This window comes from Homo sapiens, chromosome 20 (genome assembly GCF_000001405.40).
Source record: "Homo sapiens chromosome 20, GRCh38.p14 Primary Assembly".
Lineage (NCBI taxonomy): Eukaryota > Metazoa > Chordata > Mammalia > Primates > Hominidae > Homo > Homo sapiens.
In genome coordinates, this window is record NC_000020.11 from 1942461 (window position 1) to 1970362 (window position 27902).

A 27902-nucleotide genomic window follows, 5' to 3' on the forward strand; every position below is an offset into this window, starting at 1 on the left:
CAGAGATCAGAAGAGTGGCTGCCCTTGGAGGGAGGACCAGGAGAAGCCTGGGGTGGCACATGCTCTACGTCTTCCTGAGTCGTGGTTATCTGGGAGGTTGCATATGTAAAAACCTTTCCAGCTGCACATTTAAGATGGGTGCATTTCCCTGTATATAAGTTATGCCTTGAATTTTTTAAAAGATAGATGCCCAGCCCTGTCCCCCTCAACCTTTGATGCCTGCCCCTCCCCACCCCCGGCCAATCTATTTTTTAAAGTTAGTGTCAACACCTTATCTTCGGTAGCTGAACCCAGCCCAGGGCCTGGCCCCAGTGAGGGGCCCAAGGAGTGTCGCTGAGTTCATTGGAAAGATGAACATCCCCGTGATCAAAACAGCACAGAAAACAGTGAAAGATGCTAAACAGCACAAAGATTAAGGATGGCTACAAGCATAAGCCATTATCTGTTATCACTTCATCTCCTGAGATTCCTTCCATCACTTTTCCTCCTCCTCCACCCATTGGAATCGGATACAACTGCACCCCAGAGTCCTTGCCCTGTGACCTTGGGCAAAGAGATTCACCACTGGGCCTCTGCTTTGTCACCTGTGAAACAGGGATAGTAGCAGCCTTCACCTCCGGGGGTTCTTGCGAGAGTTCGATGAGAAAGTAGATTTAAGACTCTTTGCAGCAGTGTGGTGCAGACAGCAGTCGACATATGCACAGAAACACACACACATTCACACCCACACACTCACATATCAGGCCAGGTTATTAGAGCATCGCTGCAATGGTGGGTCTTCTGACGAATAATTTTATCAAGTCCCTCTCTTTCTCATTAGCCTGAGATAGGTCTCTCTTACCAACCTTTCGGGTATGGGGTGCAACACCCCAGCTTGGTTTTCGGAGTCCTCTGCCTTATACCACCACCTGACCTGTTTAAGAACATTTCCTGCTCCTCCCCAGCCCCTGCTGGACTCCTTGGCCAGGTTGATTTTCCTCTCCCAAGAAATACTATATAGCAACTCCTTTGACTTCCCTAGCCCCACCATGAGTCATTCCTCCAGTGACTTGGTGTCCTCTTGACCAGACATGAGCTCCCAAACCAGAACTTCACGCTCTACCTTTGGGATTCAGCCCCTAGGATAAGGGAGACTAAAGCCTACCATGTGCCACGCTGGACTCTGGACACTCGAATTCTTTACTTCATGGAACCTTCACATTCTTTACAAATGGAATGTCAATTTCACAGGGAAGAAAATTGAGGCTCAGAGAGGTGGAGAGGTAATAAGTTCAAGATCTTTCAACTAGTAATTATTTCTCAAGCTCCTACTGGAACCTGGCCCTGTGCAAAGTTCTGAGGACACAATGTGGACAAAAAATGGACCACACCCATATGAGCTCATATATGAGGGAACCAGAGCCACTGGCAATCCCAGTGCAGGGATGAGCGCTGCTGAGAAGGGCGTGACAAACATGACGTACAAGTGCAGAATTAACACACTAATGAGTGAGCCAGCAGTGGGGCAAGAGCTGGTTCCAAGAGTAAATGGGCACTTAGAGGCTTTGAAAAAGGAAGGTGAGAATAACATTTTCAAGTTAGAGATCAATCCGGTTAATGTCCCACAAGGCAATAAGGCCATATCTTTGGAGATATTTTTTTTCTGCCAGACAGAAGCCATTTGCACCCACCAGACAAAAGTCTACAAATTAGCCCCAATCTGGGCCTTAATCAAATAGGAAAGACAAACTCAGGTATATTCTTCTACAGAACTAACTAATCCTTCAGTGGGGCTTTTAAACCGTGCCCCAGTATGGCAACGAGATGAAGCACTGCCTTCTTTTGCCTTATTTCCAAATTTGAGATACTTTGTCTTATTAAAGGAAAGTATACTGGCTTCATTCAGCCTGCACAGGGCAGAAAAAGACTTCTTGAAGAGGAAATCCCTGAACTGAGATCTAAAAAATAAGTAACAAGAAGCCAGGTAAGTGCAAAAGAGCCAGTGCAAAGGAGTTCCAAGGAGCCAGTGCCTGGCAGAGGCCAGCCGTCCCTGTGTGCACTGGCCCCTACTGAGCTCTGCAGCCCGATTCACACCACTCTCTCCATCACTCCCTGCACTGGCAACACCAGCCTCCTGCCAGTTTCTAAAATGAACCACAGGACCCCGGCATGAGCTACTCCCTCTGCCTGCAACACTCCCTGGATCTTTCCTGCTTGTCCTCCAATCCAGAGGCTGGGCTAAGTTCCCTTGTCAAACACTTCCATAGTAACCATGTCCAGCCCTTCTTTGTAGCCCTCATCTCAATTTGTAATTATACATTGGCACTGTGATTACATGATTACCATCCTCTCCTCTACTGCCCCAGTTGCTGCCTCAGGGCAAGGAGGGTGTTGATTCACTCATCAGTGTAACTCCTATGCTAAGCCCATAGGAGGCACCCAGCAAATATTAGAGGGATGGGAGGATGGACGGAGTGATGAGAAGGAGGATGAGAGGATAGATGGATGGAAGAAGGGAGGCTGAATGGATGGCTGGATTGATGCAGGAGAGCACGGATGGGTGGATGGGTGGGAAGGAAGAAAGGAAGGGGGAGAGGGAGGGAAGAGAGCAAAGGGGGAGAAGGAAGAGCATAAAAGTCGGAGTCTGCTTGGCATTTTAGGAGAACTGAGAGTCCCTGGCTGGCAGGTTTGGAACTAGAAGCAAACCTCAGTACATCTGACTTTTCCCACTGAGTTTCTCTGCCTTTCATCATGATCCTGGGTTCAGGGCAATCACTTTTTTAAAAAAATGACGCATGATCCCCAACAGGCAAGGAGCCAATGACCTTTGTCTGAGCCTTTGGTTCCTCTTCTAGAGAAACTGGGGCTATACTTAGAAAACAGGATAAAAGATTGCAAAAATTTGTCTACTCTCAAATTGCACAACCCTAGCGTGGCTGGTCAATGGCTCAACTTTGGGAGCTGGCGGGGCTCAGCCTCTCAACAGACTTGTCCTCCTGGCTCTGCTTCAATGACAACAGGCCAAGCCCTCATGGTAGAAGGTGCCGTTCCCACCAACCTGGGCCTTCTGCCCCCGCAGGCCCTCTCTGGGCAAGGTCAGCTGGTGCGGCAGCCGGTCGCATGGATCTGGGCCACAGACCTGTCTCCAGAATGAGGCCGGGTGAGAGTTTAATGGCAAGAAGGCTGCAGCCTGACTAAGGCTGTCGGCTTGATTCTGCCATGGCTCCCCCCCATGCCAGTAAATGGACCCTGTGCACATGCAGATTAATGCATTATCGCTAATGTTTTGTGCCAGATGCAAAGGCACTCGGGCAGCCCGGCCGAGAGCTGCCATTACCACAGGACCTTTTGCTGGAAAATTTTTCTTGGGGCAATTAAATCTTCAGCTGTCTCCTCCAAGGGAGTGCCAGCTTGCATTTTAATTATCCTCAAAAGAGGGAAGTAGGGGAAAGGACACAAGGCAAAGAATGAAAAAATAACAACCTGCTTTATAAACACAGTGGTTTCTCCCCCATCAACTCCACAGTGCCCTTGACCTTTAGATTCCTGCCTCCCGATACCCTTGGAAGGACCCCTTTAACGGGAAGAAGGGAGAGGAGGTAGGAGAGAGCGTTTCTTGAGTGTGGAATAAGTGTTAGTGCAATGCATTATGCCTGGTTAATTTTTTTTAAATTTTTTTTGTAGAGACAGGGTTTCCCTATGTGGCCCAGGCTGGTCTCAAACTCCTGGGCTCAAGTGATCTTCCTGCCTCAGCCTGCAAGTAGCTGGAACTACAGGTGCATGCCAACCAGCCCAGCTAATTTTTTAAAAAAATTTTTGTAGAGACTGGGTCTCCCTACGTTGCCCAGGCTGGTCTCAAATTCCTGGGCTCAAGTGATCCTCCTGCTTCAGTCTCCCAAAGTGCTGGGATTAGAGGCGTGAACCACCATTCCCAGACTCATGGAAAGTTCGAGAACCGGCAAAACTCATCAGTCAGGTGCTAGGGCGAGGGAAGCACTTGACTAAAAGGGACAAAGGGAACTTTCGGGGACCTGGAAATGCTTATCTTGATTGAGGTGGTGCTTACATGGGTGTACATATCAGTCAAAACTCATCAAACTGTATACTTTAAAATGAGTGCATTTTATTGTTTGTAAGTTAATACTTTAATAAAGTTGATTTTAAAATAATAATAAAATAATACGAGTTAATATTTATCTAGACCTTACTATGTGCCGTCCTAGTCGCGCTTCGTATGTGTTAAGCCCTTTATCCCTCACTCCAATCTGTGACATAGGCACTCAGTACCCCGTTGCCCAAATGAGGAAATTGAAACACAGAGAAGTTTGGCAACTTTCTAAAGTGACGCAGCTAGTAAGAGGCAGGGCCTGGGTTCAAATGGAGGCAGATTTTAAGCCTATAGCTGAACAGCGAAGTCCAAGATTACCCAACTGGTTATTACTAGAGGCAGGATTAAACCCCGGTGCCTTTCCAACGTGATGAAACCGGTGGAAGAGGAAAACGCATTCATTCACTAGGGAAACATTTACTCATCCTCCGCTGCAGGTCGAACTGTAGACACAGAGAGCAACAGACAAATCCCAGGCCCTCGTCGGGGAAGAAAGGGATCATGAAATAAACAGAAAAATAAATGCGAAATGCGGCCAGCGATGAAAGCTCAGAAGGCGAGCTTACCCCGGACCCAAACGCGCAATACTAACCGGGAGTGTAAGGAGGCCACGCCCTCCTCGCGTATTTGTGCCCAAATGAGCTGCCTCCCCAGCGTGCACCAAATTCCTGAGCCACCTGCTCCGAGCTCGATTTCCCTTTCAAGCTGTGTGTTCTGCGGGGGCAGGGAGAGCTGCAAGGGCTCATCTTTCAGGACGTGCTGCAAAGGCCCTTTGAAGTCATCCGCCCTGCTCTTGGCACCTTGCGCCTGGAGCTGAGCTCTTCCAAAAATGACCCCTGCGCATTCCGTGGTGCGGCCGCCCAGCCCAGGCAGTCGCGGTCCAGAGCAGGGGAAGCTGCAGCGCGGCCGACAGCTGGGAGAGCCGAGGCCCTGAGGGAGGACCCTGCCTCAAGCCAAGCAACCAGGCCCTGCGGCCCTCTCCCCACCCCTGTGCGGCCCTGGCGCAGGGAACCGGGACGGGGCTTTCAGGCCTTGAAGGGCAGACTTACTCCACCAAACATTCCCATCGTCGGCTGATGGAGGGCCTCGAGCTGGGCGCTGTGGGTACGTTATCCTATTTACTTCTCTCGGTAGCCCTGCACCATCGCCTCTGGTTCCCAGGTAAGCACAGAGAAGCAGATGACTTGCCCAAGATCACACAGTACTGCAGGAATAGAATTGGCGTCTGGACCTCTCCCCTAATACCCCACGGCCTCCAGAATCTCACCTCAGCCCCTGTCCATCCCGAAATAAACACTCTACACCATTTAGTGAATGTTCTTTCAGAGGTCAGACCCTATACATTCATTTCCTGGCTCCCCCATTTCCTGACTGCGTGACCTTAAGCAAGTTTCTTAACCTCTCTGTGTCAGCGTCCTCCTCTGTAGAATGGTGCCAAAAACTGTACCTATCCCAGAAGGTTACTGTGAGGACCAAATGAGACAAGACAATAAATGTAAAAGTGGTTAAAACTGTGCCCAGATGATAGTGAGCCCTCAAAAACTAGTCACTCTTCTAATTCCATAGACTTGATTAATTTCTGGTTTTTCATAAGTGGATTTACATGTATACATTTAAGGCACCTTTCCAAGTAAGACATACAGGTCTACCTCATTCTTTCAAGCAGCTTCATAACATTCTTGTATTCATTCATTCATTCATTCATTCATTCACCAAACATGTGTAGAGCGGGCAGCTCCTGTACACCAGGCAAGGGCATACAACACACTCAGTCCTTGCTCTGAGTTCTCATGGGAGGGATAATTGACAAATGCATGAATAAATAGTTGAGAGCATTTCACCTTATACTGAGTGCTATGAAGAAAATAAGATGGGGCCAGGCTCTGTGGCTCATGCCTGAAATCCTAGGACTTTGGGAGGCCGAGGCGGGCAGATCATTTGAGGCCAGGCATTCAAGACCAGCCTAGGGTTTTAGTAGAGAAAATCCATCTGTACTAAAAATACAAAAAAACAAAACAAAACAAAAATGCTCTATGTGGTGGTGCATGCCTGTAATCCCATCTATTCTGGAGGCTGAGGCACCAGGATTATTTAAATCTGGGAGGCAGAGTTTGCAGTGAGCCGAGATCTCACCACCACACTCCAGCCTGGGTGACAGAGTGAGACTCTGTCTCAAAAAACAAAAAAAAAAAAAGAAAAAAGAAAAAAGTAAAAAGAAAAGATGGACAAAGTGTTAGAGAGACGCTGGTTGGGAGAGGGAAAACAATTTACAGACAGTGCGTGAAGTCCCCAGGGATATGGCATTTTACTGCCACCGGAAGGAAGAGAAGGAAGGAGAATGGAGCAGTCCAGGCAGAGGAAGCAGCCAGGGCAAAGGCTGGGAGGCTGCACTAAGCTCAAGTGTGATTCAACTGGAGGTAAAGAATGAGCATTTTTGAAACCAGGTTGGAGAGTCAGGCCAGGGCCCAGTGAGACAGCGCCTGTGGATTTTAGCCTGAGAGACATGTGAAGTCCCTGAACCCGGGGGTCCTGCAGCTGTGTAGGAACAGATTGGAGAGGCACCAATGGAGGAACCAGGAAGTTTGTCAGGCTACAGGATTCAGAGGCACGGGCAAGAGGCGATGGTGGCAGGGACTAGGGATGCAGCCTCCAGCCTGGAACATGCCTCAGTGGCAGAGCCCACGGGACCAGCTGATGGGGAAGACAGAGTTGAAGGAAAAAAAGAAACAAGTTGCCACTGACAGATGTCAACATAATAATTTAATTAATGAATTCCCTATTGATGGAGAGCTGGACTGTTTCTATTTTTTCCCTACTTGCAAACAATTTTGTCTTAAACATTATTGCATAGATAGCCCCAGATATGAGATGCTTGGATCAAAGGGGTGAACTTTTTTTTTTTTTAATCATATCCAGATGGCCACATTGCCTCCATTCCACTTGTGTCCAACATGCAGGAGTTCCAGTTTCTACCCTGGAACTTTCTCCTCCTGCTGTGCTCCTGGGAACACTCTGCCCAACCCCTCCACCTCTGGCACAGACCCGGTCTCCAATGCATTTGTATTTCTTGCTGCAATCTGGAATTATAAGTTGTTAAGAAGAAAACCTCAGAACCAGGCTAAGTGGCTAAAAAGACTGCCCAGGGGCCTCTTTTTCCAGCAGGAGGCAGAGAGAGGCTTCCAACACCCTGAAGAGGGCCAGTTTACCCCTATTCTTCCAAATACAAGGAATTGACTTTTATTTTTTTTTCCCTCTTCAGGCCTGAAAACAAGCCAGAGCATTGAATGGCCATGAAAACAAGCAGTGAAAACAGGCCCTGAGGTTACAGGAAACCCTTCTCCCCACCACTCTCTGAGCAGCGGGAAGGAAGGGAGCCACTGTCCTCTGGGTCCTCTGCCCTTCAGCCCTCCTGGAGGCCCACTGGCCTTCCCCATCTCACATGTGATCAATGCCCCCTGGTTGTGGCCACCACCTGCTGCCTGACCCCCATTCCATGCCAGCTTTTGCTACCAGAGTTTCCTTTTCATAAGTGGCCTTTTTAAAGGAAGTATTTTCTTTTAATCAGCAGTCACTGCATCTGTAACAGTGCTGAAGCAGAATTTTGTTATTTTCCCATTACTTAGCGCTTCTCTGTTCCATTTATTTGGGGGAAGAATCGCTAAGATTTCAGAGATTCGTAGCTCTCTTGTACGCGGTATCTGATTTTCACTTTGGCATTTGGAGATGCTTTTGAAGGTGGTTTATGTTATCTTTCCAAGACTTACCTGGTGAGTTACTTAATCAAGAGAGGATTTTGAAACATACTGCCTCTTAATATCTTGTCTTTTGTTTTTGTTTTGTTTTTTTGAGACAGAGTCTCACTCTGTCGCCCAGGCTGGAGTCCAGTGGCATGATCTTGGCTCACAGCAACCTCTGCCTCCCCAGATCAAGCAATTCTCCCACCTCAGCCTCCTAAGTAGCTGGGATCACAGGCACACACCAGCACACCTGGCTAATCTTTGTATTTTTAGTAGAGACAGGGTTTCGCCATGTTGGCCAGGCTGGTCTCGAACTCCTGACCTCAGGTGATCCACCCACCTTGGTGTCCCAAAGTGCTGGGATTACAGGCGTGAGTCACCGTACCCAGCCTATCTTGTCTTTTAAAACAAGTGACTTTTTTTTTACAGCAAAATAAATGGATAGCAACTCTTTGACACTGCTAGTAACTATTATTAATTGACTGCTTAGGAAATGTCAGCTGCCAGGCTGGGCTCATTCCCATTGGATCTTCTCCGCAGCTCTCTAAGGGAGGTGTGAGTTTTTGTATACATTTAATGTGTGAGGACACCAAGGTATGGAGAAGTTGACTACTATCAGTAACTTACCCAAAGTTACAGACCAGGGCAGAAATGAGGTGCAGATTCCATACTCCCCAGGGCCCTTCCTTTGTAACCATGGTTACAAAGCCTCTCAGAGGGAAGGCGGCGGATTCTCCTGCAGGTCACTGTGGCAGTGACATGGGCAGGGGTGGCGGACAGACACATGTTCCCGTTTGTTCTTACTCTTGTCCGTGGCACCTCTTCCTTCCGACTGCTGGTCCAGCCGATCCATGGGCCTTGCAAGTCCACACTAGAGGCAGAATCCCTTGTTCTAGATGACTCCTAAAGGCTCAGCATCTCTAATTCTCTGATGGGATGCTGACTAAGGCACAGGGGTTTCAATTCTATTTGGGAAGTGACCTGTTCCCCTCCATCTAGACTAGACAGATTTAACAAATAAAAATAGAGGACCCCCAATCACATTTGAATTTCATAAAAATAATGAATACTTTTAGTATATATCATGCAATATTTGAGATATAAAAATCACTTGCTGTTTGTCCAAAGTTCAACTGTAACTGGGCATAGATATCCTGTATTTTCTCTGTCAACCCTCTCTCCGTCCCCCAGTAGATGCCCTTCTAGAGAGACCTGCCAGACTGAGCCGCTTCCGTCAGCCAGACATGAGGATAAGAGCGTTTAGGTAAGTGCTTGGTCAGCATGGAAGAGCCTTGGGGAACTGAGTGGGGTGGGACAGGCTGAGGAGCCTTACGGGGCCTTGGTTTCCCTGTCTTGGCTACAGTGTGGAGCTCGGACATCCCCAAGGAGCCCACCGTCCACACATTGACGGTCGCTGCTTTTAACATAAAGTCCAGCTCCCCTAGTGAGGCACTGAAAGGCCCTGTCTGCCACCCCACCTCGCCTCCTGCCCAGCTCACACAGCCACCTGGAAGGACTTAAGAGTCCCTCCCAAAACAATCTCTTCTCACCTGTACCTTCACTCTTCTTGCCTGCCTTCCTTGTGTGCTGTTTAAACTCCTATTCACCCTTTATGCCTTTAATGCCACCTCCTCCCAGAAGCCTTCCCTGACCACTGCAGGAAGAGAGGCAGTTGCATTCACTTCCCTGTCACTTTGGGCCTCTTTGACAGTTTGATTACAATAAAATTACAGCTTATGCAAGTTTAACGTGTGCTTCAGACAAAAGAAAAAAGAAAAAATACAGAAAGAAAGACAAGAAGAGAGAAAGAAATTAAGTAAGGACCATGTGGCTCAATGGGCACACACCCTAAGTGGTTATGAGATAGAGGCAGAATCTGCTCTCTGAGGCTCAGTCCCCATAGGCCCCTCATCCTACAGCTACCTAAGGACAAGTCTTTAAAGATAAGCTGGAAAAAAACCCAAAAAACTGGCAGTATAGTGGGAAAGAATGAGGGACTTGGCAGACCAGACTACTCCAAATTCAGACTCCAGCTCCGCCACTTCCTGGCTGTACAACCCCGAGCAAGTTGCTAACTCCTCTGTGCCTGGGACTCCTCACCTGTAAAGTGGGCATAAGAAAAGTACCAACCTCATAAGGTTGTTGAGAGGATAAAATGAGCTTAACACCTGTGAAGTCCTCACAGTAGCTCCTAATCCACACTGGCACTAGATTATATTATGGTCCAGTATTACCCCAGCCAGTACCCTCTGTGGAAGGAAGAGGAACCTGCTCCTGGGCTGCAGGGAACCCCAACTGTGCTGGACTCACTAGGAGACTGAATATCAGTCCCCAACCTAGTGTCTCTGAGGATTTGCCAGGGGTACTTTTCATGACACTTGATTTTTGCTTTCCAAGCTGACTCGACTGGGTAGCACCCTCAGAGAAATCTAACCGTCAGATAGACAGTCCTGGGTGAAAATTCCCACCCACCATTTCTATAATAGTTGTGTGACCTTAAGCGAGTCACATTTTGTGTTAGCTCTGCTCGCTTCACCTGTCAAATGGAGACGATGATACCTACCCCCAGGGCATGAGGAGTTAACACCTGTGCTGATGCCTGCTACCTGGTAGACACCTGATACCAAGGCCGCTGTGATTAATTTACTCTTTCCACAGCAGCTGTTGTTACACTGTTTCATTTTCAGTTTACATGCTCTTCACCCCACAGCCTGGGAGCCCTCAAAGATGGGGACTCGTTCCAAGTCAGCTCAGGCTCCCATGGTCAAGTCTACACCAAAAACCAGGGAGGCACTCAAATATGAGAGGGGGATGGAGGGAGGGAGGGAGGAAGGAAAGGAAGGAAGGAAGGAAGGAAGGAAGGAAGGAAGGAAGGAAGGAAGGAAGGAAGGAAGGAAAAGAAGAAGGAAGGGAGGGAGGGAGAGAGAGAAGGAGGAAGGAATAAGAGGGGAAGGAAGGAAGGGAGGGAGGGAGGAAGGAAGGAAAAGAGAGAGGGAGGGAAGGAGGAAGGAAGGAAGAGAGGGAGGGAGGAAGGAAGGAATAAGCAATTAAATTCTTCATTCTCAGGCTCCGGGCTTATCTGACTGGTCAGAGGAATGGATCAGTAGCCCCCATTCATTCTCCTCTTTCTGGAGTCACAACTTAGGTTTGTAGCTGTCTAATTTATTATTATATGGTGCAGTGCAGGGTAATTATACACTGTGGTATAATTTGTTATAACTTGGGCTGAGGCCTATAACTGTATAATTTATTATTATACAGTACAGTGTTGAATAATACGAAGAGTATATAATTTATTTCAGGCTTACGAGCCTAACCTGTAATCCAAATGCAGCATGCAGCCTATGCAGATGAGTTAATGTTTCTACGGAAACCTCAACTTAGATATTTCTTCATCTCTAGTTCCTTTCTTTGGGCTTCTCAGAACACCTGTGTTACCAAGTTCCTGGTACTTTTTGTTTGGTGCAAGACTGACATGTTGGGTAGCCCTGGCCCAGGCTGAACCGGTCTTGCATATTGGGTCATGGGAAAGAAGGGTCCAGAGCTGTCACCCTGCCCAGTGACAGTTGTCATCACAGGGAGGCCGCAGCTTGCCAAAGGTATTACTGGCAGCAGATACAGAACCATGACCAGAACCCCCATTTCTGGGTCCCCAGGAATGAGGAGGCTTGCCGCACCTCCATCTATTTATTAGATAACTATTCTTTGCTCCGTTCTCAGCACTGGAAACACATCATGGGACCAGGCCCCTCGTGAAGCTTGCATTCTGGAGATTAAGAGCCTCCGTCTCTCTGGTCTCTTGTTTCTTAAAGTGTGGACTCTAGACCAGCATCTTCAGCATCCTCTGGGAGCTGGTTGGGAGTGCAGCATCTTAGCCGCAAGCCTCACTGAGTCTGCATTTTCTTTTTTTTTCTTTCTTTTTTTTTTTTTTTTTTTTTTTTTGAGAGGGAGTCTCGCTCTGTCGCCCAGGCTGGAGTGCAGTGGCGCGATCTCGGCTCACCGCAAGCTCCGACTCCTGGGTTCATGCCATTCTCCTGCCTCAGCCTCCCGAGTAGCTGGGACTACAGGCGCCCACCACCACGCCCGGCTGATTTTTTTGTATTTTTAGTAGAGACGGGGTTTCACCGTGGTCTCGATCTCCTGACCTCGTGATCCGCCCGCCTCGGCCTCCCAAAGTGCTGGGATCACAGGCGTGAGCCTCCGCACCCGGCCAAGTCTGCATTTTCACAAGACCCCCTGGTGATTCATTCACACTGAAGAAGAACTGCTGGAGTTGCTGTATGATTTAGGGGAACCATTTTCTTCTCTACTTCCCTTCTACCCAAAATATATACCATCTCACTGAGTATTGAAGCGGAGTTCCTTTTTTTTTTTTTTTTTTTTGAGACAGAGCCTCACTGTGTCTCCCAGGGGAGTGCAGTGGTGCAATCTCAGCTCACTGTAGTTTCCACCTCCCTGGTTCAAGCGATCCTCCCACCTCAGCCTTCCAAGTAGCTGGGATTACAAGCCTGTGCCACCACACCTGGCTAAATTTTGTATTTTTAATAGAGATGGGGTTTCACCATGTTGGCCAGGCTGGTCTTGAACCCCTGACCTCAAGTGATTCACCCACCTTGGCCTCCCAAAAAGTGCTGGGATAACAGGCGTGAGCCTCTGTGCCTGGCCCCTTCTTCTTTTTTTTTTTTTTTTAAAGAACATGTATTTTTTTCTTTTACTTTGGATGCAGAAGTTCATTATGTACCTTTTGGAATTATAAAACAAAAAAATATATATAAAAAAATCACCCAGAACCCCACCATTCAGAAGTGACACTGTTAATATTTTAATGACCAATCCATCAGACTTTTTTATACATACATATACTTTCTTTTTACAAAATTTCGAGAAAAGATGCAATAGTGTTGTATTCAGGCTCAGAAAATAATACCCCAGAATCTGGCGCTTTGACGTGCTGAACTGAAGAAGCGGTTTCAAGGTCTCTTTCTGACCTTGCCCTGCCTCCCTGTCTCTCTGATCCTCTTACTTTCCCAAAGCACCAGGAGGGGCTGTCGCTGGAATTTTCTTATCTGCCTAAGAAAGCTTCTTTCCAAGAGAAATGCAATTTCTTAAAACTCCCCGTCCCTAGGAATCTCATCAAATAACCAGGAAAGATTAACCACTGGAAAAGAGACTAGATGTAGTCACCGTGCTCAGACAGACTTTCATTTGTTTTTCTGAGAGCAGCTCCTAGAGATCACCTGGGACGCTTCATCTGCATAGTAAGACAATCTTTGTTTACAGTGAAGGTCTGCCCCTTACCTTCCCGCCACCTCCCCCAGAGCTCAGAAGAATTTTGTCTCAGGCAGTTGTTCTTTAGGATCACTCATTTCCCCTAAAAAGTCACTTACTCCTATACCTCCCATTTCCCCTTCCCCGATGAAGAAGGGCATATAAGGGTTATTGGGTAATCATTCTCCTATAATTCCCCTGTGTTACTCACATTAAATAATTTATTTTATTATTATTATTATTTTTTGAGAGGCAAGATGTTCTTCTGTTGCCTGGGCTGGAGTGCAGTGGCACAATCATAGCTCAACTGCAGCCTCAAACTCCTGGGTTCAAGTGATCCTCCTGCCTCTGATTACCAAGTAGCTGGGACTGTGGACACATATCACCATGCCTGGCTAATTTTTTAAAAAAATTTTTTGTAGAGACAGGATCTTGTTTTGTTACCCAGGGTAGTCTCAAACTTCCGGCTTCAAGTGATCCTCTCACCATGGCCTCCCAAAGTGTGGAATTACAGGCATGAGCCACCATGCCTGGCCTTGTTAAATACAATTTCATATGCCTTTTTCTTTTACTAATCTGTCTATTATAGTTCGTTTTCAGCAAACCTTAAGAGGACAGAGGAGAAGCTTCCCTTCGGCCCTTACAATTGCACAGTGGCTCTCAAAACTGAGCATACATTCACCTGGAAGGGTTGCTCAAACATAGATTGCTGGGCCCCACCCCCAGAGCTTTTGATCAGGAGGTCTGGGACCAGGCCTGGGATTTGGCACTTCTAACAAGTTCCAGGTGATGTGGGGCTGCTGGTCCAGGGACCACACCTTGGGAAGCACTGGACTCAGTGTTCTAAGATTTCCTGAGCACCAGTAGTTGGAATCCAGCTCTGCCACCCACTACCTGCCCACAGGGAAGTTAGGCTGCCTCTCCATGATGCAACTTCTGAGTCCACAAGGACAGTACCTGCCTCATAAGATTATTATTATTATAAGGATTATATGAGTTAATTAGTAAAGCACACAAGAAGTATTAATTATGATGAATATGCATATAATTGTTTAATCAAGATTTCTTAACAATTGTTCAAAAACATTTTTCAAGTCATTATTCTTCAATGTATTTGCTTTCAAAGGCTGTGGGCTTATCCTTCATAGTGATGTATTTATCTAGTCCACAGTCTTCAACTAAACAGTGCTGCAATGAGCATTCTCATGGATAAATCACAGTGCACCTGTCTGCTTATTTCCTTAGGATATAATGTGCTAAATGTGAAATTGCTGAGAAAAATTACATGAGCATATTTAAAACTTTTGATATGTTTTGCTAAATGGCCTTCCAGAAAAATTATACTGATTTATAATGCTACCAGCAGTATATGAGGTCATCTTTTCCTTATATTCTTATTAATATCCCATGTTATTGGTTTTTTAAAATTATGCCAATACTTTGTTTGTTAATTTGAATTTCTTTGATGACTACTGAAGTTGGATGTCCCAGCTTCAATATCTCAGGACTTTAAATATTTTTTAAAATCCCTCAAAGCTTGTGTTTACAGAATGTTAACCAGCCCTTTTCTCCTCAATGAATGAACTCTGTGTCTTGGCAGGTCTCTTGTAGTAGCAGAGGCATCATCTCACAGGTAGCAGCTGCTTGATTTAAATCCCACCTGTGCTGCTGGTAACATACCTCCCATTTAATAGATGGGTGTGGACTAGAGGAGGATGAAACATTAAGAGAGCAAACAGAAGGAGAGAAGTTATTTGTTCCACAAAAATTCTCTCAACATCTCTTACAGGTCAGGCCCTCTGCTAAACTTAGAGGATGCAAAGACAAGGAAGTCTCAAAGTGCAGGGTGGTGGGGTGGGAGAATACACACAAAATAATGTGAAATATAACAGTGCAAATGAAAACAATGGGGTAGGAATCTAATGAAGGAAATGATGGTATCTTTGAAGTCAGAGAGGACCTGGGTTCAAATCCTGTTTCTTTCAACTCCTAGCTTTGGACAGTAATATGCAAAGACTATTTTTAGGCTTAAACTAGTTAAAATGACAGGTAAAAAATACCTGGAAACAAGTAAAGTTTCCTGTTTCCAGGATTCTCACAATTGCAGCCCAAGGGCCAAATATGGCATATAGAAGGTCTTGTTTGGTGCATCCAGTATTTTTGAAAAAAAAATTTAGTAGAGGAATTAGGATGGCTTAGACCAATAGATCCTGGTTGCCCAACTTAAACCCCTGGAAATATATTTGTTCCTCTAGAAGAGATCTGGGTTCATTCACTGACTTCTCCTTCTGGTCAAGGTGGAATAACAGAGAATGGGTTTATCCTCTTAGCTGAAACAAAAAAATCTGGGGAAAACATATGAATCAACAGTTTTCAAGACATTGGACATCAGGCAACACAGAACCGTGATCCCTGAGAGAGAGAAAACAAAAGAGAGCCTAGCAATTGCCTCTGCTTACTATCTGGAGAGAGTTTTCAGGCCACGGCACAGGACAGGGAGTCCAGGTAGGGCCCGGGGGTCTTCCTGAGTTGAAGAGATGGAGCTGGGTGGCTGCTATGGTTAGAATGTTTTTGTCCCCTGTAAAAAATTATGTTGAGGCTGGATACAGTGGCTCACGCCCTTAATCCCAACACTTTGGGAGGCCAAGGCAGGAGGATTGCTTGAGGCCAGGCGTTCAAAATAAGCCTGTACAACATAGTGAGACCCCATCTCTACAAAATAAAATTTTTTTAAATAGCCAGGCATGGTGATGCACACCTGTAGTCCCAGCTACTCAGGAGGCTGAGGTGGGAGGAACACTTGAGTCTAGGAGACTAAGGCTGCAATGAGGCATGGTTATACCGCTGCACTCCAGCCTGGTTAACAGAGCAAAACCCTATCTCCAAAAAAAAAAAAAAATTAAATTTATGTTGAAACCTAACCCCTAATGCAATAGTGTTGGGAGATGGGGCCTTTTGGAAGGTGTTTAGTCATGAGGACTCTGCCCTCATGAATGGATTAATGTTGTTATAAAAGGGCTTCATGAAGGTAGTCTATCCTTTTGCCCTTCTGCCCTCTGCCATATAAGGACATGGCATTTCTCCCCTCTGGAGGACACAGCATTGAAGGCGTCATCTTGGAAGCAGAGAACAGCTCTCACTAGACATCCAACACTGGCATCTTGATCTTGAACTTCCCAGCCTCTAGAACCATGAGAAATAAATTTCTGTTCTTTATAAATTACCCAGACTTGGGTATTTTTGTTGTAGCAATGCAAACGCATTAATCCAGAGGCCAAGGTGTCTGGAGTTCACAGGGCAGAGTATCACTGAGAAGAGAGCTTGTGGGGAGGAGCAGGTTCAAGAGCACAGGTGACCTCTGGCGATCAGCAGAGAGCCCCTCCTGTCTTCTGAGTACTAATGAGCATGTGCATGTATGAAACCTACCTGAGGAGCAAAGAACCACCTGATTAGATTAGAGGGAACAACCCCAGGTTCCCCCACAGGGCTGGGAATAGTCTCTGTTCTTAGGAGCCAGAGTGAAAAATCTCACAGGGCTTTAGGCAGAGGATTCACAAGGTTTCTTCCTTAGTAGCTGGACAAAATTTGCTCTAAACATGGATATGGTTCCATCTAAAAATGTTTAAAAGCAAAGATTAAACTAATTCCAAGGAACTTGACTGTGTCCCAGAAAAAAAAAAATCAAACATATTTATAGAAACACACACAAAAAAACCTAGCACATGATGATGTAAATTCAGTGTCTGGTATCCATTAAAAAAATTGCCAGGCATGCAAAGAAGCAAGGAAATTCAATCCATTAATGAGGAGAAAATTTGATCATTGGAAACTGACCCGGAAATGACACAAATGATAGAACTGATAAATAAAGACATTAAAACCATGATTATAGCTGTATTTCATAGGTTCAGGAAACTAGAGGAAGGACTGAGTTACTAAATTGTGATATGGAAGACAGCAAAAAGGCTCGTATAAAAAAGATTAGTGAAATTAAATATATAGCAAGAGAAACTATCCAGAATGAACCATAGAGAAAAAAAAGACTGAAAAAAAAAAATGAACAGAGTATCAGCAAAATGTGGGACAACTTCCAGTATAATATACATATACACACAACACACAACACACACACCCTCACACATAGGTATGTGTATAAGCAGATAGACATATTTATAAGCAGATAAATATATACATATGTGTATATATGTGTGTGTATATATAGATCAAATATATATATATATATATATGAGAGAGCTTGAAGGAGAAATAATGGTTGAAAATTTGCCAAATTTGATGTAAACAAAATTCACAGACTGAAGAAACCCAGTGAACCCCAAGCACATTAATTCATCACAGTCTCTACCTTCTACTTCCGACTGATATTATACCACTTTGCCTTACGAGATTATACTTGAGACTCTCACAACATTAAGCAAATGACACCAAGGGCCATTATAATCAAATTACTCAAAACTAGACATAAACTAAAAACCTTAAAGGCAGCCAGAAAATAAAAAACCCAGGTTATATATACACATGAACAAATATAAGGCCGGCATCAGATTTCTCAAAAGAAACAATGCAAGTAAGAAGACAGTAGAGTAGCATCCTTAAAATGCTCAGAGAAAAATAAAGTCAACCTAGAATTCTACATCCAGCAAACATGTCTTTTTAAAAATGAAAGCCTGGGCAACGTGGCAAAACCCCATCTCTACAAAAAACACACACACACACAAATTAGCCGGGCATGGTGACACATGCCTGTAGTCCCAACTACTCAGGGGCTGAGATGGGAGAATCACCTGAGCCTGGGGAGATCAAGGCTGTAGTGAGCCAAGATCATGCCACTGCATTCCAGCCTGAGTGACAGAATGAGAACCTGTCTCAAAAAAAAAAAAAAAAAAAAAATCAAACTAAAGATGTTTTCAGATATCCAAAGGCAGGAAGAATTCATCACCAGCATACCTGTATAGAAAAAAAGTGTTGATAAGTCCTTTAGGCAAAAAAAAAAAAAAAAAAAGATACCAGATGGGAGTCTGACTCTACACAAAGGAATGAAGAGCACTGGAAATGACAACTATGGGCAAATAAAACCCCTCTTTTCTCTTACTTTAAAAATCACTTTAAAAACAAATTTGACTATTTAAAGCAAAAATAACAACAGTGTACTGTGGAGTTTATAATATATGAAGCAATACTATGTATAACAAAAACAATACAAAGGCCAACAGGGGAGAAATGGGAGTATAATGTTGTAAGGTTCTGATTCTGTATGTGAAGTGGTATAATATCATCTGAAAGCAGACTGTGATAGGTTAGAGATGTGTATTATAAACTCCAAAACAACTGCTAAAATAATTCAACAAAGAATTATAGCTAATAAGCCAACAAAAGAGATAAAATGGAATCATAAAAAATATTAATCTAAAAAAGAAGCAGAACAAAAAAGAAACAAATAACAAATGGGGGAAACAGAAAATAAATAGCAACATGGTGGATTTAAACCCAACCATATCAATTATCACCTTAAATGTAAATGGTCTAAACACCCAAATTAAAGAGGCAGAAATTATCGGATTGGAACTTGCCGAGGTCATCTCCTAGACAGAGGTGGGGGTGGGCAGCCCTGGCAGCTGTGCTCTAGCATCTCATTTTGTTGCCTCTTAGACATGTGGTCCCTTCTCTGTGGGCCAAAATGGAAGTCAGGACGCTTTATGCCAGGAGTAGAGAGTGGAGACTTCCCAACATGTACTATGGAATGTCAATGCACAGCAGCACTGAATTAATCTCAGACAGCAGCTGCTAGCACCTCTGAATGAGTCTTCATTCACCACCACCTTCTCCCCGAGATCACTGGCTCTGATTCCGGAGTTCACCTGACTACCATAATCCTAGCAGCTGGGTAACCTCTGGGCGGCCCATCCCACCCTCAGGACAGTGATCTGCCAGCCAGCATTACAGACAGGATCTCCCTGTCAAGACAAATGCTTGGAAACCAGCCCTAAATGCCAAGCAACCAGATTGTTTTCCCCACTTGATGTCATGTGAGACTTTGTCCAATGTCTGCAGAGCTTCTCCCATGGCAGGATAAGCGGCCAGGCTGGACACACAATCTCAGAGGACCCAGACATCCATAGAGATATTTCGTTCATTCATTCATTTGTCCATAGAATGCTTATTGAGTGAGTACCTTCTGTGTGTCAGGCACTGTTTTAGACACTGAGAAAGCAGTGAAGACTGTGAAAAGGCTTGTGTCTCCCAGGGGCTTGCGGTCTAGTGAAGGGAGACAGACAGATATGCAATGAAATATGATGACTGGTAAAATAGCAATCCTGACAAGGTCTGATGGATGCACCCAACCAGGTTTGGAAGGATGAGCAAGAGTCTTCTCGGGGGACAAGGCAGGGAAGGCCACCACAGGCAAAGTTCCAACAGTTACAAGGTGGCAAAAGTGAGTAGAAGTGGGATGTGTTGGGAATGTCTGGGGCTCTGGTCTGCAAGGATAGTACACGTGAGGATGTAAGAGCCAGACAAGCCTGGAGAAATAGCATGTGCCAGATGATAAAGAATCTGTATGCCTGGCCAGGGAGTTTGGACTTGACTCCCTGGCCTGGAACAAGGTATCCTTAAAGGATTTTATGCAGGTGGATGGCATGAGGATATTGGAGCTTCAGAGAGGCTACTCTGGAGGCAGAGGAATGGGCATGTGGGGTCTGGGGGAAGCCGCTAGAGGAAGAGAAGTGAGAGACAGGGCTGGTAGGGAGAGGCTGGCCTAATGGGGGTCAGAGTTAGGTAAATATCTGTCTGGCTGACAAGGAGGAGGTGATGAAGAGGTGAAAGGGGCAGGGCCTGGAGACCTATCAGACATGGGGGAGGCGTGGAAGCTGGGGAGGTCTGTGCTAGAGCTGATCTAGAAGATGTTTCTGTGGGGGTATCACAGCCCAGGGTATCACCACAGACAAAGGGGAAGCCTGGGGGGGTTGGGCAGTGTTCTCTTCACTGCTGGCTCTGACAGTGATGAGGAAAGGTGAGCCCTGTTACCGACGACACTATGGGTAGCCTGGATTTCTTGCAATCCTATAGGACTGCCCTGTCAAGCTGATGGAGGAGGCCAGAGGGGGACTAGGGTAGACCGAGCACCAAATGTGGCCATCCTCACAATACACAAAGCTAAGAATCTCAGGAAGCAATGCCTGGGAGAGTAGTGGGTGTGATCTCTCCACTGCCTCCCTGCCCTTCCTAAGATCCAGCCACACTTGCCCGTCCCCAATCACGCTGTGCCCGCTCTGCCTCCAAGCGTGTATATATGCGATTCCCTCTGCCTGAAACTCCCACTGCCTCCATCCTGCTCAATGCGGCTGACTTTTCCTTTAGGACTCAGCCTGGATTTCCCAGCCCTCAGGTGACTTAGGGTTCCTCTCTGCCACCCTCCCCTAGCTTCTTGTCTCATTTCTAATCACAGTGATATGGTGCCCTTTCTTCTTGTCACTGACCACTACTAGATGGTAAGTGCCTTGGAGGTTGAAATGGGTTGTATTATTTCTTAATTTTCAGGGTCAGCATGAGGCCTGAAAGAATGGACAGGCAATGTAGGGGTGGATAGAGGGAAGAAGGGAGGGATTGATGGAGGAGTGACTGGAGGAACCATAGATGGAAAGAAAGAAGGAAGGGACGGAGAAAAGAAGGAGGGAGGGAGAAATGGAAGGAAAGAAAGAAGACAGGGAGATATGGGTGGACAGGGGAATGGATGGATTTATGAGAGATTGATGGATGTATAGGAGGAATGAAGGATGGATGGATGGAGAGATTTACAGACACATGAGAGTATGAATTAGTGAAGGAATGAGTAAATGATTGATGGAGTAGTAGAATGAGCAAATAATGAGCAGGTGAATAAATAAATAAATGATCAAAAGAATGAATGAACAAGTGAATCAATGTTTGAGTGGATGAATGAATAAGTAAATAAGAAAATAAGTGACTGAGAGAATGGATGAATAAATAAGTCAGTAAACACTTTGCATAAAATAAAATAAAAAATAAATGGATTGGTGAATGAGCTGATAAACGAAAGTAGTTAGTAAAGAAATATCATTGGTCATCTGAGCCTCCCCACCCAGCAATATTTGTAGCCCTAATTTCTTCAGCCAGTTGTGGACGTGGCTGTATCCCCAGTGCTTATAACTGTATCTGGTGCATAGTAGGTATTCAATAAACATTTGATGAATAAATCAATGGATGAACGAGTGTCGGTAGATCCGTTGACCCAGTGCTGTGGCAAACACTGAGGTTGATATTAGGAGCCTGGTTTTTAATCCTAGCCCTTTGCTTTTCAATGATGTCACTTTGAGCTCAGCCCCTTTCTTCTCTGAGCCTGTTTCTCTATCTGTAAAATGGAAAAATTGCCTTTATTTGTCAAGGCTAAGGTAAAGATGTGATTGTTACCAGAAAGGGGTCCTGATCTAGACCTCAAGAGGGGGTTCTTGGACCTCGCACAGGAAAGAATTCAGAGGAAGTTCATAAAGTGGAAGCGAGTTTATTAGGAAAGTAAAGCACACACAGAGCAGTGGCGTGGGTTGCTCAACTGAGTATACTTACAGTTATTTCTTGATTACCTGCTGAACAAGGGGTGGATTATTCATGAGTGCTCCAGGAAAGGGGTGGGCAATTTCCAGAACTGAGGGTTCCTCCCTGCTTTAGACCATATAGGGTAACTTCCTGACATTACCATGACATTTGTAAATTGTCATGGGTGCTGGTGGGAGTGTCTTTTAGCATGTTAATGCATTATAATTAGCGCATAATGAGCAGTGAGGATGACCAGAGGTCACTTTCATCACCATCTTGGTTTCAGTGGGTTTTGGCTCTTTTTTTTTTGTTTTAACCACATCCCGTTTTATCAGCAGGGTCTTTGTGACCTGTATCTTGTGATACTAGTCCTGCCAACCTTCTATCTCATCCTGTGACTAAGATTGTCTGACCTCCTGGGAATGCAGCCCATTAGGTCTCAGCCTTATTTTACCCAGCCCCTATTCAAGATGGAGTCACTCCTGTTTCAATGTCCCTGACAGAATAATAAGAGCCACATGGAAAAAATAAGGGCTCGACAAGTATTCATTCACTCCAGTCCCCCCATTCTTTTCGTACTACCTGAAATCCCTCCTGGGTTTTTTTAAAATTATAAAGCCCATACTATGTCTCTTCTCTTACAGAAGCGCACTTTCTCATTTGCACATCTGAGCAGCTGAATTTCACGCATAGCACCTCCCGGGGTTTGGTCAAAGGAGACAAAGACTCTCTCCTTTGACACAAACTAGTCTGTCTCCTCTGAGTCCTCCACTTGACTAGGCAGCCTCTCTGTCCTTGTAGACTCCAGCTGGAGCAAGAATCCTGCTAAATCAGTTTAGCAAAAATCCCCACTCTTGGTGTCCGACCATTGTGGATATCTGATCAGCTTGGCCTGCCTTCAGCAATAATCCTCTCACGTTAGTTTAGCCAGAAAATCCCTGAGGTTTCCTCTTAGTAATTTTCCATCCGTGGACCCCCGCTCTGCTCCTTGGTTATAAATTCTCACTTGTCCCTGTTGGAGTCAGAACTGAGCCCCATCTCTCTTCCCACTATGAGACCCCACTGCAGCGATCCCTATACCCATCGCCAGGGGACCTTGAATTGGCCTCACCACCTTCAGCGAGTGCCACGAATAACGTTTTCTTTAAGAGTTCTAGGCTCATGAAAAGCTCTTCCTCTCAGACGTTCCCACCTTAGTTGAGAGCTCTCCACATTTATAGTTTACTATTTTTGCTTTGATCATCATCATCATCATTACTGAAAATTTCCCCCAGAGCTTCAGGCAGAGCTGGGTAGACAAAATACTTCCGGCCTGTTTTTATCTTCGTTTTTAATTTTAAATGGAGAAAACATGGGATGGGTGGAGGAAGCAAAAGTGCTTTCTACTCGAGTGAGGTTTAAATTTCTGAACGCCACTATCCAAGCTCACTCTCCACTGGTTCCGATGAGAGCTGGGGCAAACAGGATTTCCCTTTCTTTGCAGTGAGGAAATTGCCTAATCATTTGCAGGCTAAGAGGAAAGACCGCACTGCAGAACAACTTATTTTAATAGGAAGCACCAAGACTTCTTATCTTAATGCTGACGACCGCCCGTTTATATTAGATGATCCCCTGAGCGTCTCTCCTTTTGTCTCCTTGAGTTTGAACCCTTAAGACCACGTGGACGGTGGGGAAATCCTCCCTCAACGTGCATGGCTCATCTCGCCACGAGGGGGCGCTCCCAGATCAGAGACACGCGGCTGCCGCCCACCCACCTCGCGGCCGCCACCTCCTGTGCGTGCATCATCTTCGCGCACCTGCCCAGAGGGCGGGGCCGGGGGGTCTCCTGCCCCATTAAGACTCCCTGAAGTCCAGGTGCAGCCCTGAAGGCTAGAGCAAGGTCACTACCGAGGAACAAGATGTCCTGTGAGACGTCCCGGGATCTCTGTGAAAACTCTGGACCTCTGGGAAGTCAATGGGGACTGCACTGAGGGCCTACTGTGTGCCAGGGCTTTATGTAACCCAAGTTATTCACTCCACAAACACTGAGGGCCTGCAGAGGTGGCTGTCCAAGAAGGGAAGGAAGCTGAGGGTGAAGGAGGGAGCCTGACCCTCAGACCAGTTTCCCTGGCAGCCAGCAGAGCATTCTGCAGCATGCTGCCAAGCAAGAAAGTGGTCTCAGCTGTGCACTAGCTTCAGCCTGCTCCTAGGGGAGCTCTGGAGTGGGAGCTGCACTACCACGAGGTGAGTGACTGGTCTTTTATGCCCCTAGATCTGGAGTGGGGAGGGGTATGACAGCCAGAATCAGGGGCCTAGATGTGGCTCCCATAGCATCCACCCCAAATGTCAGCAATGATTGTTTTCAGATTGTGGTTACGTTGAGGATCCGTCCCTTAGGCAGAGAGCATGGAGGTGGCTCTCAGAGACACCCTCTCTTCCAGGGCTCCCCAGGGCTCCTCAGTGTCAGCCCCAACTCTTTCATGAGAGTGTGCTAGGACCTCCTTCTCCAAAAGAAAATCTCCAGTGAAGATCAATGTGTAACCTTGGGAGGTTGAGATGAGAGAGATGATGAGATGATATGGTGGGGATGCTTTAGGAGTTCCCAAGGCCTGCTGGTGCTCTCTGCATACTCACCTGTGCCCAAACTGAACCAAGCTCATTCTCGACGCTTTTCCTCTTTCTCTCTCCCAATCCAGTCAGGTGCCTTGTCCTGCCGATTCCATACCCTTAATGTTCCCTACCCAGACTGGCAGTTACTGTGTAGTTAGCAGACAAGCAAGGACTTTGGGGGTTACCCTAAAACCCCAACTTAGCTCTTGAGTGAATCCGGGAATGTCAGTGTGGAAGGGATTTTTTGGATGCAGAAAAGGTTTCTTGCAAGTACTTGTTACTTAATATTCAATGTAATACAGTAGCTTAAAAAAAAAACCCTAGTCATTCTTAAGCCTTTAAGTTCAATTTACAAAACTTATTATTCGATTTCTATGCAGTCAGTTTCAAGGGGCTTTTGATTAATGGTCAATCGACTCATACTCGGTTAAATGATTCATACCATTTGCAAACTTGGTTAATTAAATTATCTTCAACATTTTACACAGGACTTACTAATTTAACGTATTCAATTTCCTTTTTTAAACACTTTCATTGCCTGACCTGACAAGCAAAACTTTCCAAAGTACTTAAACCACTTTGGAAAATCTAATTTAAAAACTTATACAACAGTGAATCTCAAGATCTCTTATACATTCTGGAGTCATTTATAAATTTAGTATAAAAAGATTCATGTGCTTCTCAACGGAAGAATCACAAGTCTAAACTCAATTACATATTTTAAATAGGAGTCACAAGGCTAATTTGTTCATACTCTAATATGCAAAAAAAACCTCTTCAAAGTTGTGAATACTTTAAATACCAACTACACAATAATATAGGCTTGACTTCTAAACCTTTGTGGGGTTAAAAGATATCTGCCCAGTGATGGAAAAGTTCCCCATTTTAAGGTAATTGGGGTGACATCTTTCAGTACATTGTACTACCTCAGGGGCAAAGGTTTCATATTGTGGCAGAAACTGCTGGATCTCTAATATCCGTGCTCCCCTGCCTCCTTAGAAATAGAACCTCAGACTCTAAATGGGCCAATTGGCTACCTAGAATAAAGATGGCATTTCCCAGCCTCCTTGTATCTGAGTGTGGCCATGTGACTCAGATCTGGCCAGTGAGATAAGCAGAAATGTTACATAGCAACTTCCAGAAAGGACAGCTGACGCGTATGTCCTTTCCCCCTCTTTTTTATTTGTTCCTCCATCTTGCCACCTGGACCATAGATGTTGATATAGTTTGGATATTTGCCCCTGTCCACATTTCATGTTGAGTTGTAATCCCCAATGCTGGAGATGGGGCCTGGTGGGAGGTGTTTGGATCATAAGGGCGGATCCCTTGTGTGTGTCTTGGGCCATCCCCTTGGTGGTGAGCGAGCTCTCGCTCTGAGTTCACAGGAGATCTGGTCATTGAAAAGTGTGTGTGGCACCTCCCTCGACCCCTGTCTCTCTCTCTCTTGCTCCTGCTTTCATTATGTGACGTGCCTGCTCCTCTTTCACGTTCCACCAGGATTGTAAGCTTCCTGAGGCCTCCCTAGAAGCCGAGCTGATGCCAGCACTATGCTTCCTGTACGGCCCGCAGAACCATAAGCCAATTAAACTGCTTTCTTTATAAATTACCCAGTATCAGGTATTCTTTGTAGCAATGCAAGAACAGCCTAACACAGGTGGAGTGGTCAGATTCCAGTCACTGTCTTGGACCTGGAGGTCCAGGGTCCCCCTTTAGGGCTGGTGGTGTGATGTGCTATAGAAGAATCTTGGGATTCTGACAACTTCATGAACAGCATGTCCACTTCAACCTGTGAGAGATTGTTTGGGAAGATCCCTCCCATCCCAGTGCTTCTTGGCAATGTGACTTTGCCCTCTTCCCATCAAGAGATAAAGTCTGTTTCCCTCCCTTGAATTGGATGTGTCCCTGAATCAACCCAGCACTGTGCTCCCACCTCCGTGTGGCAAAATTGGCATTGGGTGACTTTTGGGGCCTGACACTCCCATGTGAGAAAGACAGCCTAGCCTCCCAGAAGATGAGGGTCTCCAGCCAGGAGCACCAGCTGCTGGCACTGGAGTGAGCCCATGTAGGACCCTTCTGCCCAGGCCACCTTCCAGTTGCCTGCAGTTTCAGAAGGGAGCCCAGGAGAAACCCACAGGGGAAGTTCACCAATGTGCAAAACATGAAGTGTAAATTGTTGTTTTCAGCCACCAAGTTTTAGGGTGGTTTGTTGATGCAGTGAAAGCTAAATAAAATCCAGCCCTGGGCTGCCCACCTCTGACTTTTTCATGAGAAAGAAACTTTGATCTTGTTTAAGGCATGATGGTTTTTGGTCTTGGGTGAACGGAATCCTGATGCACACATGCACCTCTGGACCAGAGATTTTTGCTTTGATGTGATACCTCAGTGGCCAGGGTGATTCTCTCTTGCTGCTGATGGATGTGCTGAGCCCTTTTTTTTTTCCAATCGGTTGCTATGACAACAAGGGACTCCATATCCTCTAAAGAGGTTGGTATCTTGTGGGCAATTAGATTCTGGCCATACCATTACCTAATTCTTCTGTCTGATCTGAGACCAGAGTTCCCTCCACCTCCCCCCAGCACCCCCGGCACTCCCCGCCTTGCCCTCCTCCTGCCCAGGAGGTTAAAGCTGGCTTCCTTTGCTAATCTCCTTATTGCTGAATTGAATTCTGAAGCTGTTTCTTGCCCTTGCTGTCTGCTCAGGCTGCAATTCAGATAGATACTTAGAGGCTTCCTTTTGGATTCTGCATCTCTCCCTTTCTGGGCTCTGAGCTGTAACATCCCTTAAGTCAAGTTAGATACAGAATGAGAGGCTTCTTCTTCTCCAAGCCTCTGTTTTCTTATCTGCAAGACGGAGAGAGCTTACCAACCTAACAGGGTTGTTGGGAGGTCTCTGAGACTCTGTCTACAAACGCCTTGCAGTTCTCAGCCCCCTCACTCCCGCCAAGGCCCCAAATGTCTTCCTGGAACATTGGCAACAAAATCTTAGACGCTCACTGTGGCCTTAGGGCCTGCCCGGCTCTCACCTCCTGCAGTCCTCACCAGCCTCACTGACCTTCTGAGGGTCCTTGGGCCAGCAGTGCTCCCACCTCTGGGCCCTTGCTCTTGCTCTTCTCTCTGCCTGGGGTGCCCTCCCCTCAGCTCTTTCATGGCCGCTCCTTCCCCATTCTTCAGGTCTTAGTTTATTTTATTTTATTTATGTATTTATTTTGAGACAGAGTCTCGCTCTGTCACCCAGGCTGGAGTGCAGCAGCGCGATCTTGGCTCGCTGCAACCTCTGCCTCCCGGGTTCAAACAGTTCTTCTGCCTCAGCCTCCCAAGTAGCTGGGAGCCTGCTACCACCACGCGCAGCTAATTTTTTGTACTTTTAGCAGAGATGGGGTTTCACCGTGTTAGCCGGGATGGTCTTGATCTCCTGACCTCGTGACCCGCCCACATCGGCCTCCCAAAGTGTTAACATTACAGGCATGAGCCACGGCACCCGGCTAGGTCTTATTTTAAATGTCGTCTCCCCAGAGTTTTCCCTGACTATATCATCAGAAGAGCAGCCAATCCCATCAACAGTAATAATAGCATCACAATGAAATTATAACTTTAATAAATAGTTCTTAGCTGAAAACTTATGTCCACACAAAAACCCACACATGAATGTTTATA

General features: G+C 45.9%; 1 long non-coding RNA gene across 1 annotated transcript in view, besides 6 other annotated features; it reads left to right on the forward strand.

Annotated features, from left to right (window-relative positions):
- Positions 3069 to 3615: an enhancer, noted in NCBI's record as "H3K4me1 hESC enhancer chr20:1926175-1926721 (GRCh37/hg19 assembly coordinates)". NCBI's record gives its function as "activates a minimal SCP1, AML or CMV promoter by ChIP-STARR-seq in primed H9 embryonic stem cells {active_cell/tissue: H9 hESC(primed)}" and the evidence as "EXISTENCE:reporter gene assay evidence [ECO:0000049][PMID:30033119]".
- Positions 4743 to 5037: a silencer, noted in NCBI's record as "tiled region #9993; HepG2 Repressive DNase matched - State 4:PromP, and K562 Repressive non-DNase unmatched - State 21:Repr". NCBI's record gives its function as "represses a minimal TATA promoter and a strong SV40 promoter by Sharpr-MPRA in HepG2 and K562 cells {active_cell/tissue: HepG2 | K562}" and the evidence as "EXISTENCE:reporter gene assay evidence [ECO:0000049][PMID:27701403]".
- The window catches only part of PDYN-AS1 (PDYN antisense RNA 1), a 60308-nt gene continuing 37155 nt past the window's right edge, over positions 4750 to 27902 (forward strand). Inside the window, exons 1-3 of the long non-coding RNA NR_134520.1 lie at positions 4750 to 5191; positions 9019 to 9088; positions 23144 to 23883. This is a non-coding gene — a long non-coding RNA (PDYN antisense RNA 1). The remainder of the gene's footprint in view (positions 5192 to 9018; positions 9089 to 23143; positions 23884 to 27902) is intronic.
- Positions 5049 to 5596: an enhancer, noted in NCBI's record as "H3K4me1 hESC enhancer chr20:1928155-1928702 (GRCh37/hg19 assembly coordinates)". NCBI's record gives its function as "activates a minimal SCP1, AML or CMV promoter by ChIP-STARR-seq in primed H9 embryonic stem cells {active_cell/tissue: H9 hESC(primed)}" and the evidence as "EXISTENCE:reporter gene assay evidence [ECO:0000049][PMID:30033119]".
- Positions 8383 to 8677: a silencer, noted in NCBI's record as "tiled region #1230; HepG2 Repressive non-DNase unmatched - State 21:Repr". NCBI's record gives its function as "represses a minimal TATA promoter and a strong SV40 promoter by Sharpr-MPRA in HepG2 cells {active_cell/tissue: HepG2}" and the evidence as "EXISTENCE:reporter gene assay evidence [ECO:0000049][PMID:27701403]".
- Positions 12053 to 12142: an enhancer, noted in NCBI's record as "active region_17462". NCBI's record gives its function as "activates an Ori minimal core promoter by ATAC-STARR-seq in GM12878 lymphoblastoid cells {active_cell/tissue: GM12878}" and the evidence as "EXISTENCE:reporter gene assay evidence [ECO:0000049][PMID:35858748]".
- Positions 22102 to 22652: an enhancer, noted in NCBI's record as "NANOG hESC enhancer chr20:1945208-1945758 (GRCh37/hg19 assembly coordinates)". NCBI's record gives its function as "activates a minimal SCP1, AML or CMV promoter by ChIP-STARR-seq in naive H9 embryonic stem cells {active_cell/tissue: H9 hESC(naive)}" and the evidence as "EXISTENCE:reporter gene assay evidence [ECO:0000049][PMID:30033119]".